Below are 14,445 nucleotides of genomic sequence, written 5' to 3' on the forward strand. Positions count from 1 at the left end.
ATTTAGGGTGGTTTTATTTTCTCCTCTGCTTCGAGAAATATGCCAGTTTCACGAAATTGTTTCGTGATTTTAGGGGATTTAAGCTAATACAGGGAAGATCCTGCATTTGAAAGAGCCCAGCTGCCCAGGAGGTATCCCTCAGGTGAACCAGCCTTCAGTTGGGCTAGCATCTGAGTGAGAGACTGTGGTCAGAACGGTCTATTTGCAAAGCCTCTTGGAGAGAATTAGAATTATAGGTAGAAAGAATTAGAATGATAGTAGAAAGAGCCTCCCAAGCCACCGAGGAACAAGGTAAGACTGCTAGAGATGGTTTTATCCTCTGTGGGAATCGATTTGACTGAATTTGCAGTGGGTTCAGATTCCTTCAGCAGAGACTTCCGGGCTGCTCCCAAACTCATTCTGCTCTGGCCTTGAAGGGGACTCTTGACTCGTGGCTTCCTTGAAGCTTGTGTGGAGTTAGCGAGGCCCTTGTGGCCAGGCAGCCTTGGAGTGGAGTGCCACTTCACTCTCCCAGGGATGCTCTGGTCCACTGGTGGAGAGAGCACCGAATGCAGAGTCAATCCTTTGAGTTGCTTGGTCAGAAGAGGGGGCCGCAGGGCTTCTGGTCAGTGGCTCATTGCCTGGCTGCGGGGGTCTTGGGGGCTGTGTACTGTAGCTGGCTTGTTTGCACTGCAGACTGAAAAATACACAAATACTTCACGCTTTTTGTACTCCCACAAGTGCCCTGTACACAGTGCAGCCCCTGGGGCTGGATTAGCAAACCAGGGATTCAGCAGGCAGGCAGACAAAATTGGATATTTGCCTAATAAACACCCTTCTTCCATTGTCCCCCACCCCTGCCCCGGGGGTACTCCACGGGAAAACTTCACTCCACAGATGCCAGCAGTTCCCTTTAAATGGGAGTAGGAGGTTGTCATGTGCACTTTGAAAGCTTGTGTGACCCCCTCACACCCAGCTGGCTTGTTAAAGCCTAGAATCGGAGTCCTACATCCTTGTGTACTCTTTGGGTAGGGCAGCTGGCCTTTTCCTGGGGAAAGTGTGTTTAGCCCAGCTTCCTTTCATCTGCATGGCTCTTGCGGCAGGGAGGTGGAGCAAACCAGCCTTGCTTCTTGGAGGCTGTGGGGAGGAGAAAGGGGTTCTACCTGGGCCAGAGCCTGTTTCCTAGTGGACAAGGGGCAGCCAGGCCAGGTGGACCTCGCTGTGGACAGCTGCAGCTGTTCCCGCTGGGCCAGGGCCCTTTGAAAAGGAACCCGGGGGAGCACTTCCCCCCTTTCTTCTTTTCACTAAGTGTCAGAGGCATGGACAAGTGAAACACGTGAAGAATGCCAAAGAGAGAAACAGTGTTTTCAGATTCCAGAAAATTCAGAGGCAGAATAGGTGATTGTACCAACAACCAGAATGTACAGTGATTTCAGTTGCTCCTGAAATTGCTCCTGCACTTCTAAAGAAATCGGGGAGGAAAAACTGCTCTCTAATTGTTTCCTCAGGCTTGTTTAACAGATTTGAGAAAGGGTCATCCGACATTGATGTTTGAGAGTGTCCTTTGAAAAAGAGTGGCACCTTCAACACTTTTCTGGTTTTCAAATAAACACACAACACCGGATTCAACATTAATCATTTTCTCTGAAATTAATTTGAGGGTTTGCTGTGGAATATCAAGAATTAAAAAAAAAATCATTGATTATTATTTTTAGGTTTAGAGGATGACAAAAGCATCCTTAACCCACAAAACTGTATTTAAAACCTGGGAAAATGCACAGATGATAACGGTATACTTTCTGTGCATTTAATATCTTATTTTCCCCCAATTCTTTCATCAGCACAGTAATTCTCAATAATCCTGTTTGTGTTGTTTCTGGTTTCTTAAAAAACATACACATGGGGGAAAGTAACTCATTTAAGATGTGACCAAAGAGTACTTATTAAACTGTTTTGGGGATTTGGGTTTAAATTGAATAATGTTTTGTGTGTGTGCTTGCACATGTGTGTTGTTTAAAAAAAAAAAAACAGGTTGCTGGGAAGTGTGTTTTAACTGTGAGTGCCGGGTTTCAGCTATTAGCATAAGAAAAAAAGTTTTAGTGCGTTTGCCATTGTCTTGAATGAAGAGTTCAGCAAAGGGAAGGAAAGCCGCAAAAGGGTGATGGTCCATTGAGATTCTTCTGCAGCCCCGAGCTCGTCATCTGCCTCTGAAATCTGTGATCGGATATCACTTTTATCTCGCTTTTCCATTCTCTGGCCTTTTTCACACGTTCACTTTTGTCAAGGTTTATTGATTATGTTTTCTTCTCTACAAATCTGTGGAAAATTTAATGAACCAAAAACAGCAGTGAAATAAAGGGGACTTTTTATTCATTAGCACGGGATTGGGATTGATTCCCTCTTTGGGCAGCCGAGGGCCCCAGGCCTCCTGCAGGCAGCTAGAGGGAGGAGGGAGGGTGGCCCGGCTGCAGGCTGAGGCGGGGACTCCACAGGCCTGTGGCCTCCAGGCTGAGCAGCACGGGCGCAGCCCTGCACTCCTGTCCCAAGTGAACTCTGAAAGCTTGTCCGCGATGGCTGTGCCGGTTGAGCCTGTATGCAACCACGCCGCAGCCCTTACCCGCCATGTCCTCCTGGGTCCTGGCTCAGTGGGCTTGGGGGAGGTGGGGCGGGGGGTGTTGTTTGTATTTCCCAGACTTACAAACCATTTGAGTGCTGGGCCTTCCCTGGGACACAGTTAAGTATCTCCCTTCCTCCAGACCCAGCCCAAACCTGTAATTAAGCAAAGCCCCTGATGTGATTACGCTTTGCTGACTCGGCTGGGTTTGGAGCCATTCCCTCTAGGAAACAGGGTGAACTCTTGCTCTTCCCAGAGGTTTCCTGGGCAGCTTGTGGTGCACCTCTATTGTACACATGTCCGCCTGTCCCCCTCCTTTGGCTCTCTTCCTCTCCCTTCAGCTATCCGTCCGTCCTTTCTGTCTTTTTCTTTCTCCTTCCCCTTTCTCTCTCTTCTGTCCTGCCCCCACCCCCTCTTCTCTCTGGGTCTCTCCTTTCTCTCCCTCTCCGTTCTCTCTCCCCTTCTCCTTTCTTCTCTTTCCCTCCGTTTCCCCCTCCTCCGTTTCCTCCGCCTTCTCTCTCCCTCTCTTTTCTGTCTTTTCTCATCTTTTCCCATCTTTCCCTCCCGTTCCCTCCGCCTCCTCCCCGCCCCCGCCGTCTGGACCTTCCTCTCCCTCCGCGCCGGCTTTTCCGCCACGCGGAGCGCTGGCTGGCGAGGCCGCGTGTCCGAGCGGCGCCGACCGTGCCGCGGCCGGGGGACATTCCGTGCCCCGAGCGCCCCGGGCCCGCGGCTGCGGCCCTCCCACCTGCGCGCCGGCCTGGTTTGCAGCTCCCAAACAATGGCCACATTGTCGCAGCCGCACACCGGCCGCCGCCGGCGAGTGGCGGGAGGCCGGACTCTGCTCGTGGCGAGTCGGGAAGAAAGCCAACGGGCCAGGTCCCCACAGCCGCGCCCGGAGCGCGCGAGCGGCTCCCACCCGGGAAGGGCGCGGGTTCCGAGGGGCGCCCCGGGTCTTCCTCGACCCCGTTTCCCATTGGCCTGCCCTCTTGCCCGCTTCCCCAGGAGGGGCTTCCAGTTGCCTTTACAGCTGGCGAAGTGAATGAGAGCACTCCACGGGAGCCGGGAAGAGAGAGGCCCCGTGACCAAACTTTTGGTGGCGTCTGAAACTTTTTCTGTAAGGCATCTGCAGACAGTAATCACTAAGGCCGCCTTCTGCCCTTGTCCACTCCCGGCGACAGGAAAGGAAGGGCGGTCCTCTCTTCCATTCGTCTTGACCTGTAGGGATTCGAAACCTCTTAGCGCTCAGAAAAAAGATCTTTGAATGCCTGATGTTAAAAGAGCGTCCCTGGGTCCAAGATAGCCCCTTCAGCAGACGCTTAGCAATGCTTCTTTGTGTGCTGGACAATGCAGTAAGTCAGCCAGACTTTTGAGCCACATTTATAAGGAACTGTAAGGGCCGCTCAAGTACACTTGTGCTAAGTTGAATTGATTGAAATTTAATGGCGGTTAGTGGCGATGAATGGTAATGATTTTCCAGCGTATCTTTGGCATACTTGACATTAATAACTGGAGTGTGTGTGTACGCACGCCGAGAGCCCGCCACACACGTGAGGCCGTAGCATTATTCATTTTCCGAGGTGCCAGTCCTTTCTCTCCTCAAATCCTTTTCCATCTCACCATAATTCAGTTGTTAGGATGACTTTAAAAAAAAAGGAAAGAGGGAAAGAGAAAAATCTTTCTCCATTGAGCACGTACATCATGTCAACGTAATTTTGAGCTCATGATTTCTTTTCAATTCCTACATAAATCAGCTTCTAATATATAGAATGTGACGAATTTGTTTTAGCTGCCATCATGAATTAATGTTATGCAAATAGAAGCTGTGCAGGTGAAATGATTTACTTAATAATTTCAACTTCTAATATTTAAACTCATTCATTATGTTGGAGTTAAAAAAAGCAAGTCCATATTTTTAAACCTCAGATGGGGAGATTAGTATGCAAATATTTGCAGTGCAGCAACCCTTGATGACCAGAAAATAGCTCTTAATTTGTTGATTCTCTGGGAATCTGCAGCTCACCATACCAAGTGGCCTAAGGAGCAGGGGAAAGAAGACTTACCAAGTTTTATCTGGGGGAGGACACAAATGCATTTACATAATTCCATCGTGACCATCAATGTACCATATCCAGTGGGACTGAACTCTCTCTGCTTTGGGGACCAAGGAAGGCTTCCCATTTGAATTTGTCTTGAAGAATAACTGTAACTGCCAGGTAGAGAAGGGTAAAGGGCTCTGATGTGCCGCCTCCCCGCTCCCCTTCCTGCTTCTTTGTCCTTTGTCCTTTGCTAGTTAAGACCATCTTAACACTGTAATTCCAGGATTTGGGGAGGCTGAGGTGGGAGGATTGCTGGAGTTCAGGAGTTCGAGGCCAGCCTGGGCAACATAGCGATACCCTGTCTCTACAAAAAAATAAAAATAAAAAAAGAAATCATCTTAAGAGCCAGTCATTAAATACCGGCCTATGAAGGTGACCCTGGTGTAGAAAGTTGGGCCAGAGGACTACCCAGATAACTGTTAGGAAGACTTTCTTATATATACCATCCTTCCCGGCTGTTTCCCTCTGGAAGAAGCTAAGGAAGAGCACAAGAGTGATGGATGGCTGCAATATAAAGATAATTAGCCCGAACCCCTTGGAGTTATCCCCAGGGACTGGGAGACCCAGTCACTCAATAGCTGGGTGACCCTGTGCAAGTTGCTTCGCCTATCTCTGGGAAGGGGGCGGGGCTTGGTAGATGTCATCTCTCAGGTCCTCCCAGCTTCAAAACCCTCTGAGCTAGCACACCCTGCCCACTGGACAGCCATCTCTAAGAGTCAAGACAGCGGGTAGGGTGGGAAGATCAGAGTCTGGAGAAAGGGAAGGTCTTGGGTACCCCCTGGGGAGAGTTGGGTGCCTGTCAAGGAATATGTCCTGCCTCTCCTTGCTGGCCACTCTTCTTAGCCAGCCGCTGTGCTCAGGTACCTCTGGGATGTGGTCACAGGGTCAGTGTAAATGGGAGTGGCCTTGGGGACATTGGTAGAGAGCGGAAGCCTGTGATGGTCTTTTCAGACTTTCCTCGAGGCTGAAGATCAGTGAAGGAAGGGCTGACACATAAATTTGTCTTGGATCTCTGAAGATGATAAGGGTGGAGTTTTGACTTCACTTCTCAAAAAATTGAGGTCGTTGCAGTCTGATGACAGGTTGAAGGCACATCACTCAGACGTTTCTGCAGACAGCTGTGGGTTGTGCTGTCATGATACATTGTGTGTGTCCAGGCAGTGACAGTATATTTAGGGCTGGCCCTCGCTGTCTGTGGAGATCAAGGTGAGGGGACATCTCTGGTGCTCTTGGGCTTGAGAGAATGCATATGTTGCCTTGTTTATGTACTGAAAGAAAAATTGGACTCAGTAGCTACTCTGTTACTTCCATACTTTTCAGGTATGTGAATCAATAGTTGGAACAGGATTGTAGAGTTTGAATGTAATTCAGGTACATTCATCTACCGAAGATGTGGTACATAATATAGTAATTTACATACACAGTATAGTATGTTAGATTACCCTTCCTGCTGTTCAGTGTGAATGAGGGATGTGCGACATGTATATTTATGCTGATAGACATTTATATGGCTAAAACTTTAACTACCAGATTCCTTTAGAATTAGATTTTTGTTCTTCTCCTAAAATGTGCTTGTACCCAAGAACAAGAAATTAAGAGGCACATCTGAGAATAAGGCTGCAAAGGTCTCTAGGTGGGGTTCATGGGCCTCCTGGATGAGATTCAGGTGGGAAGCTTGTTAAATATTGCAGAATCTTAGGTTCCCCAGGGAGAACCCATTGAATGAGAATTCCTGCAGAGTGGGTCCAGGAATCTGCATTTTATCCAGGATTTTTAGGGTGGGGTGATGAGGAATAATGTCTTTTTACTATGATGTCCCTCAGATCTGGGACAGTCCAGGAATGGATTTTCAGCCAATTGCAGCACTTGCAGCTGCCTGGACAGCTGTTGCAGCAAGGAAACTAGCTGAAAACAGAGGTGCTTCTGCTCCAAAACAGCTCTTAGAAGTAGGCTCTAGAGCAGGGTCTCTCTTTCACAGGACAGTAGCTGAGACTATAAGGTGGCTCTGGTGGTTACTTGCTTTTACTGGCCCCCAAGAGAAACAAGAGAGTATATTAAGTTAACATGTTGGTTTATGTGCTGTAGGTTCTGTCCCAAGTGTCCCTGGGATGCCTCCTTTCTTTTTCCATGTAAGGAACTGCAGCGCCATCAGGATGCTTTGTGGCTGAAGTGGGACCAATTTGGCATTGGACAGTTTGAGTAGGTCTTTTGGAAGTTTGACCCACACTTAGGTTTGGTTGAAGGGCCTACCTTGTGGACACCTTTATGGTCCCTAAGAAAAGTAGGAAGGAGACAGATTGTCCAATAGGGGTGAAGTTGCAGAAGAGGATGCTGTGTGGTGGCGTCAGGCCTGGGAGCTGGAAGGAGCCTGCCCTGAGGGTGAGCAGAGCCCTCACTCAAGATTAGGGGCCTAGGAACAGACTTTTCCTTTCACTACTGTCCTGCAGGCCTTGGAGACCTGGGCTCTTCCACACCCGCAGCTGTGACCATGTGGGGTGGCTTCTGGGGCTTTGATTCATACAGTTTTGCACTGCAGACTTCATTTGCTTGATGCTAATGTTACAAGTGCACCTGGGCCAGGACTTCAAGAGTGCATGGAAGAACACACTGGAAACATTTGAAATTGTGATGTGGGTGGGTCCTCATCCACCCTGCAGCTGGTTCACCTGGTGGCCATGTGGTGGGATTTGCTGGTCTGAAGAGGCTCAGGATTCCTTCTGTCCACATTTTTGCAGTTCTTCTGCGCAGGCAGATATGTACAGTAGATTGCAGGCTCTTGCTGGCACTGGGGGCCCCGTGAGAAGGGAGGTGGGATGTGGGCTGGTGCCATTTCCATCTCCTCTGGGTCTCTGGTGTGCAAGACCTGGGTGCCACATCCTTCTGCAGGTGCAACCCTCAGCCCCTGGGCCCGTAGGACCTGGTGCCCAGCCCATCTGTTTTACCAAGAGCAGCAGAGGCCCCATGATCCAGTGCGTTGCTTCTTCAGTGCCATCTCTCTCCGTCTTCAAGGGGCCACCTTGCATGGGTGGTCAGGAAAAGCTGGAGCAGGGCTCAGCTTACAAAAGACTGATAGCTCCTTTGGAAGCCTGGGTTAGCTGGGCTTCTGGGTCCCAAGCCTGCCCTGGTGGTGGAAGTCCTGTTCTCATGCTTACAGTGATTGTAGCAGTGAGAAGCGAAGCTCCCAGACCAGTGCCTGGCCGTGGGCATCAGTAAGGCAGCCTTGTGGAGCACCTGTGTCCACCTCGAGCTGCACCCCCCCAGAAGCTGCCCAGCCACCTGCCCAGCCAGAAAGTAGAAGGCCTAAGAGAGGCCTGGGTCTCTCTGCTCCCCGGCCAACCCTCCTCCCCTGTGGGTGCCTCTGGTTTTCCCAGTGGCCCAGAGCCATGCCTATCCCTCTTTCTTCTGCTTCTGTTTTCTTGGGTTTTCCTTTATTTAAGTTTGAAGATCTATCTCTTTGCTGGGCTCTGGTCTCTGTATTCAAGGTCTGGACTCTGGTTTAGCACTTGGATTCAAGCAAACCTCTTTCTCCTGATGTAAAAATACTAAAAAAAGCCGCAAAACATTATTTGCCCCCCAAGATCTTAAAACTAAGACATGCCTTTTTACTGAAAATGTAAAATAAGGAGAAGCAGAAAAGAGAAATTTGGTTAAATTTCCTGCTAGTCTCTGTTTTTTAATATAAAATTTTTTTTGCTCTATCCTTTCTTACAAAATTGAGGTTACATTAATACAGTCTTGTAACTCCTTATTTATTTAACATTATATCATGGAGATCTCTCATGTTATTAATAATTTTATTAGTGTGATTTTTATTGGCTACATAATATCCCTTTGTCTGCCTCTCTCGTATTTTATTTTATCATCCTTATACCATTGGGCATTTAGACTGTTCCTAGTTTTTGTTATTATAGATAATACTGGGATAGACATCCTTGTGTCGGAATGTTTACCTGAAATTCTGTTTCCTTAAATAGATTCCCAAAAGTGGAATAACTTAGCTAGAATATTTGGACAGCTGTTTTTCAGGTCCTTGTTAGGCGTTAATGGAGTTCCAGCAGTATGTACCTAGCTTTGGGGAAGAGATGGGAGGTGCTAGCTAGAGGTTTTCAGAACAGCTATGCACAAATCAATGTAAGACAATTATTTTGTGCCTTCTGCATGCTCAGACACACACAAGCCACTTGCAAAATAGGGCCTCAATTTGCAGATGGGTAAGCAGGGCCTCAGAGACACTGGCGGATCTCCATGTTCACCTGGGCAGTAGGGGCAGAGCTCTGAGCGGAGGCAGGTTTGCTGACCCCCAAGCCAGGACCCTCTCCCAGAGTTGGCTCCTGAGGGCTGCCCTGGGAGCAGCTGGTTTGCCTCAAACAAGGGCTATAGCACTGATTTCTCAACTGGGCAGTGTCTCCAGGGGGCATTTGACCTGTCTGGAGACATTTTTGGTTGTCACAACAAGGGGAATGCTATTGGTATTTAGTGGGTAGAGGCCAGGGATGCTGCTGAACATCCTGTAAACCACAAGGCAGCCCATGACAAAGAATTTTCAGCCCAAATGTCAGCAGTGCTGCTCTCCAGAAACCCTGAGTGGGGGCACATCATAGGGGACCCCTCCCCTATTGACACAACAGGACTCTGCCACTGGGGCTTCCCAGGGACTCTGACAGTGGGGCTGTCAAAGCAGGCAGCAGTACTTTATTCAAACCTAGTTCTCACACCAGGCTGGAAATCTTAAACCTTTTCTGTGCCTTGAATTTGAAACAGTGTGGCAGGTGCCATCAAGAGGAATTCCTTGTGTAATCCATCAGTCAATCAGCCAGTACTTACTGGAACATCTGTTATGTGCCCGGCACTTATTAAGCTCACGGCTGTAGGCACACCTTGCTAACTTGGTTACGGAGCCGGCAGTCTCCGAAATCCCAGCAGGTTTCTCAAATGTGCGTATTCCTCCTTATCCCCCTTGCCTAGGACGGAGCCTACTTTAGGAAAGGCATGATCTGGAAAGGCATCATGGGAATATTGGCCAGGAGCAGGAATTGCCCCAAACTCTTTTCCCCAAGACCCTGGATAGGTCTGTTTTCCTGGCTCCAGGCTGACAAATTTCCACTTCACAATGAATTTTGTTTTGAGCTATGCTTGCAGCTACTAGTCAGAGAATGCAAAGTCCTGTCAGTATAATGAAAAGCCCCAGAGTGAAGGCCTTGAGCAGTGGCTCTTTTAATTAACCAGTTTGCCTGAGCAGTTTGGAAGGCTTCCTCAAAGAGAGGGCCAGACTGGGTCTTCCAGGAGGAGGACTTTGCCAGCAGAGGGGTTGGGGAAGGAAGGGCAATCTGGGCAGAGGACCTCATAGGGCAAGTGCTGGACAGGGTGTGGCATTTCTGGGGCCTCTGGTATGTGGGAGAGTCAGCGTGGGGTTGCCTCCAAGGGGTGGCTTTGTGGTCCCCCCGGATGACTCCTCTGCCTATCCATGGTTTAGCTTCAGGTCATGGGACATAAATGTGCAGAGGCCCAGGTTCTTTCCGAGGCTGGAACATTTGGGATCCTGATGTGCAGCAATGAGATTGATCATCAGCTTTGCCTTCTCATTCTCCCCGTCTTGGGTTTGGGCTCAGTTTCTAAAGTTATATCTTTCTGTCTGGTGGGTGGTGGTTCTCAGAATGCTCTCTACTATGATCCCCAGTCAAGATTATAGGTTGAGATTAAGATTATAGTGATCTTGCATTCTCCATCCATCCATCCATCCATCCATCCATCCATCCATCCTCAATCCATCATCATCCAACTATCCAACCACCCATTCATCCATCCATCTACCCATCCATCCATCCATCCATCCTTCCACCCATCCATCCATCATACATTCATTGACTGCAAGGATTTTAAAGGCCTTTGCTGTTGGTCTTTGGTGTACCCTTCCTCCCCATCCATGAAGCCAAGGGTCATGTCCTCTGTAAAGTATTTCCTACCACAGCCCTAGGCTCTCACTTGTCTCTGGGATTTCCCTTGCTTATAACACTCATTAATACTGCCTTGCCATTGTCTGTTTATTTGTGCTTAACACGTGTTTGTTTATAAATGAATTTTGGGAAATGTTTCAAGGGAAGAAAATGGCATTTTCCCATTTTCTTTGACATCTCTCTTAAAAAATATAAGTTAACCAGGTAGTCTCCAGATTGACCTCCTTGGTTTGAGAAAGCAAGCACAATTATTAATTAGTGATTAGTTTTAATATAGTAGAGCTGTATTTTAAAAAAAAAATCTAAGCATGTGGTATAGTTCATTTGGACCCCACACATAATCTCTTTGTACAATACTCTTATGCCCTTTGGAGAGATCTTAGGTGGGAGGCAGGATGTTTTGGTGGATGAGGAATTGGAAAGTTGGTGAGATAAGCAGAGTTCCAGGCTGGCTTTGCCTGTGAGTTAACATGAGACCTCAGGCGGCAGGCCATTGTGCCTCTCTGGGTCTCCACTTGTTCATTTCTCAGGACAGATCTTTTCTAGGACTCTGTAAGCTATGACAGTCAGAGCCTGGGATCATAATTGTTCTGTTCGTGATTACAGAGGGTTGTATTTGGAGTTTTTAGACTCATTGACAGTCATCTCACTGATGTACTTGAATAAGGCAGCAGCCCCTGACCTTAGTAGTCCCTCGGGAAGTGCACATGTCTTTAAATGCTGTTGCATCATCTCAAGAGGGGGGCCTTGGAGACCAAGTGCCGCATCAGCCCCCACCACTAGGTATAGGACATGTGTCATGCAGTGGTGACAGCCTGATGCAGTCAGTATTATCACTAGCATTTTACAGATGCCACTGAGACTTTGTGGTTTTATTGGAGTTGCTCTAAGTCCCAAAGATAGAACATCAACGTCACAGCTCCCTCTCCTCCCTGGGGTCTGTTTCTCATCCGCCAGGATATCCACAGGGACATGAGCCTCTGCCTCATCCTCTGAGGGGAGGGCAGGGCGCAGGCTTTGTCTCAGCAGAGACATCCTCTGCCTGGGTGGCCCCTCGTGTCCCTGTCGTGAGCCTCAGCCCCTCCCACTCCAGGAGGAGGTACACTCATTCCTTCTGAGTCCCCAGCTCTCTGAGGGAGGGCTGAGGCTAGTTCTTTCCCAGGCTAGCTCACCACCCCCTTTTGGGGGCAAGTTTGGGTGCTGCACTTCCGCATAAGCCAGCAGGGCATCAGTTTGGCCCCAGAGCCAGTGCTCCCCCGAGGGGGACTGTCCAGCTGTGGCATGGCCATTGGGAAGGGACAGGTGCATCAGGGAAGATTCTGTGGAGCAAGGGGCTCAGAGCAGGCACTGGAGATAGACTGCAAATCCAGCTCTGGCCTGCCATTTTCTCATCTGTAAAATGAGGATAACTCTAAGACCCATCTCAAAGGGTTAGAGGTAAAAGAGTTAGTATGAGACAATTACCTGGCGCATAGTAAGCACACAGTACATCTTGGTTGTTATTATTAAAAAGGCAGTCTGTGTGGGCACGATATATTTGGCAGCTACCACTCTACTGACTCATTTGGGCTCTCGTTAGGCAAAGTCCTCATTCTCATTTAGCACGCGCTGCTGGTTTACACCATAGTTCCCATCTTGCTGGGCCTTAACAACAAAAGACATCCTGGCAGGGAGCAGAGCCTGCCCTTCCCAGAACTTGGATACTTCTGTGCTCTTTTCTGTGGCCAGGAAAGGGGTCCGATGTTTACCAGGGAGCACTTCTAAGATGTGCCTGGTACAGCATTTTACCTTTCCACCTTCATGCTGCTGGAGGCTGCACTGGGCCCCAGGGGGATGCCCCGGTACCGCCTGCCTCTACCTTGCTCTGCAGAGGCCTCTCCAAAGCGGGCCTTCCAGCCAGATCCCTCCGGAAGCCAGGATGGTGGCCCCCAACTCTGCTCCAGCTGTGGAGACTGTTGCCGGTTGGAAAAGGTACACGTGGCCTCCTGAGGGTACTGACTGTGTGGCTCCCACAGGGCCAGCCCCCTGTAGCTACTCAATGTGAATTCTGAAGGACAGGACAGCTGGAAAGGGCCCCGGAAGGATCCCTTGCCCAAAATTGGCCTTTTCCCATCTTTACCCCAACTTAGGGATCATGATGGCCCAAATACTAAAATAACATTTGTTCTTCTAGATTTTTTTTTCTATTTTATCTTTTGGGCCTGTTTAATTCTAGTCTTTTTTTCCTGTGAATATTTATCCTTTCCACCGTTCTCCCCTTCCCCCCAAACTTTACAGATTTTAGATTGTATGGTTTACAGTTTTGCATCTCGTACTTTTTACTTAATACTTTTTGATAAGCATTTGTCGTAGCCCTGACAAAATGATTACTCTATTTTGGACATAAAAGCCAATTTTTCTTTATCATAAGTAATTATTCTCCAAACACGCTTATATATAAATACTCTGAGATTATTAGTGTGCATAACTTTCTCTTTTAAATAAAAGCAGATCCTTTATAAAATAATTATGAGAAAATTCTTGAAAAGAGGAAAAGAAGGCATTCTGGACTCCAGGCCCACGTTGGTGTTCTCTGTGGGTAATGCCCTAGCATCTTGGTGAGTTCCTTCTGGGCCTTTTTCTGTTTATGTTTATGAATACCTTCTGGACTCATGGGATCATAGCACACATATTGTTTTGCAATCTTCACACTGTATTAGTGTGCATGTTTTCCCACAGATATGTCTCTGACCACATTCTTTGAATACATTTCCAGAGGTAGAATTCTTGATCAAAGGTGAGATCATGTTTAAGGCTCTTTATTCATATTTCTGGGCAAGTGATTAAAAATGTAACTACCCAGGGGAAGGCAGCCCATGAAGCCAGTTTCTTTCTGATGCAAAAGTAATAAAGATACAAAAGGTTAAACCTGCAGAAATGTATAGTGTTGAGTGAGCACGACCCCCACTAGAGAGAACGGCTGATAGTGAGTATGCCTGTGTCTCCATTTCTCTATTGATATAGACCAGTGTTTTATTATTATCATTTATTTTTACACCAGTGGGATCATACTACTGCAGTGTTTGGCAGTTTGCTTTCTTTGTGGTCATTTAGCAATATGTCTTGGCATTCTATCCACGTGTGTACATGTATGTATATGTGTGTAGATCATCTTCATTCACTTTATTTCTCACCTATCTTTAATTTTTTTTTTTTTTTTTTTGAGACGGAGTCTCTGTCTGTTGCCCAGGCTGGAGTGCAGTGGCGTGATCTTGGCTCACTACAAACTCTGCCTCCCTGGTTCAAGCTATTCTCCTGCCTCAACCTCCCGAGTAGCTGGACCACAGGCATCTGCCACGATGCTCGGCTAACTTTTTGTATTTTTAGTAGAGATGGGCTTTCACCATGTTAGCCAGGATAGTCTCAATCTCCTGACCTCGTGATCCGCCCACCTCGGCCTCCTAAAGTGCTGGGATTACAGGCGTGAGCCACCGCACCTGGCCCTATCTTTAATTTTTATTTATACTTATTTATTGAATAGTAATATACCTACATGGTTAATAGGTTCAGAAAGCATGAAGGTTATACATACATTATAAAGTTTTCGTACCACTGCCGTAGCCCAGCCACCCAAAACCTCTCAAGAATGCTAGTTTTTTGTGTATCCTTCCTGAAATAAGTTTTGTGTAAGTGGCATGGAAATGAGTATATATAATCTTTTTTACTTTTTTGTACACAAATGGAAGCATATTTTACAGCCTGTATTGGAACTTGCCTTTTTCACTCACCTTTTCCTGTGAGCACATAAACAGCTTCCCATTCT

At 47.7% G+C, this 14,445-nt stretch overlaps 1 protein-coding gene across 3 annotated transcripts in view, besides 5 other annotated features; it reads left to right on the forward strand.

The window, feature by feature from the left end:
• GLI2 (GLI family zinc finger 2) overlaps window positions 1-14,445 on the forward strand; it is a 256,786-nt gene that overhangs the window by 2,576 nt on the left and 239,765 nt on the right. The gene's annotated exons all lie outside the window — the stretch shown is intronic.
• Window positions 37-874: an enhancer, noted in NCBI's record as "H3K27ac-H3K4me1 hESC enhancer chr2:121496056-121496893 (GRCh37/hg19 assembly coordinates)". NCBI's record gives its function as "activates a minimal SCP1, AML or CMV promoter by ChIP-STARR-seq in primed H9 embryonic stem cells {active_cell/tissue: H9 hESC(primed)}" and the evidence as "EXISTENCE:reporter gene assay evidence [ECO:0000049][PMID:30033119]".
• Window positions 875-1,711: an enhancer, noted in NCBI's record as "H3K27ac-H3K4me1 hESC enhancer chr2:121496894-121497730 (GRCh37/hg19 assembly coordinates)". NCBI's record gives its function as "activates a minimal SCP1, AML or CMV promoter by ChIP-STARR-seq in primed H9 embryonic stem cells {active_cell/tissue: H9 hESC(primed)}" and the evidence as "EXISTENCE:reporter gene assay evidence [ECO:0000049][PMID:30033119]".
• Window positions 1,868-2,510: an enhancer, noted in NCBI's record as "NANOG-H3K27ac hESC enhancer chr2:121497887-121498529 (GRCh37/hg19 assembly coordinates)". NCBI's record gives its function as "activates a minimal SCP1, AML or CMV promoter by ChIP-STARR-seq in naive H9 embryonic stem cells {active_cell/tissue: H9 hESC(naive)}" and the evidence as "EXISTENCE:reporter gene assay evidence [ECO:0000049][PMID:30033119]".
• Window positions 2,511-3,152: an enhancer, noted in NCBI's record as "H3K27ac hESC enhancer chr2:121498530-121499171 (GRCh37/hg19 assembly coordinates)". NCBI's record gives its function as "activates a minimal SCP1, AML or CMV promoter by ChIP-STARR-seq in naive H9 embryonic stem cells {active_cell/tissue: H9 hESC(naive)}" and the evidence as "EXISTENCE:reporter gene assay evidence [ECO:0000049][PMID:30033119]".
• Window positions 7,198-7,699: an enhancer, noted in NCBI's record as "H3K4me1 hESC enhancer chr2:121503217-121503718 (GRCh37/hg19 assembly coordinates)". NCBI's record gives its function as "activates a minimal SCP1, AML or CMV promoter by ChIP-STARR-seq in naive H9 embryonic stem cells {active_cell/tissue: H9 hESC(naive)}" and the evidence as "EXISTENCE:reporter gene assay evidence [ECO:0000049][PMID:30033119]".

This window comes from Homo sapiens, chromosome 2, assembly GCF_000001405.40.
Source record: "Homo sapiens chromosome 2, GRCh38.p14 Primary Assembly".
NCBI classification, from domain to species: Eukaryota; Metazoa; Chordata; class Mammalia; order Primates; family Hominidae; genus Homo; species Homo sapiens.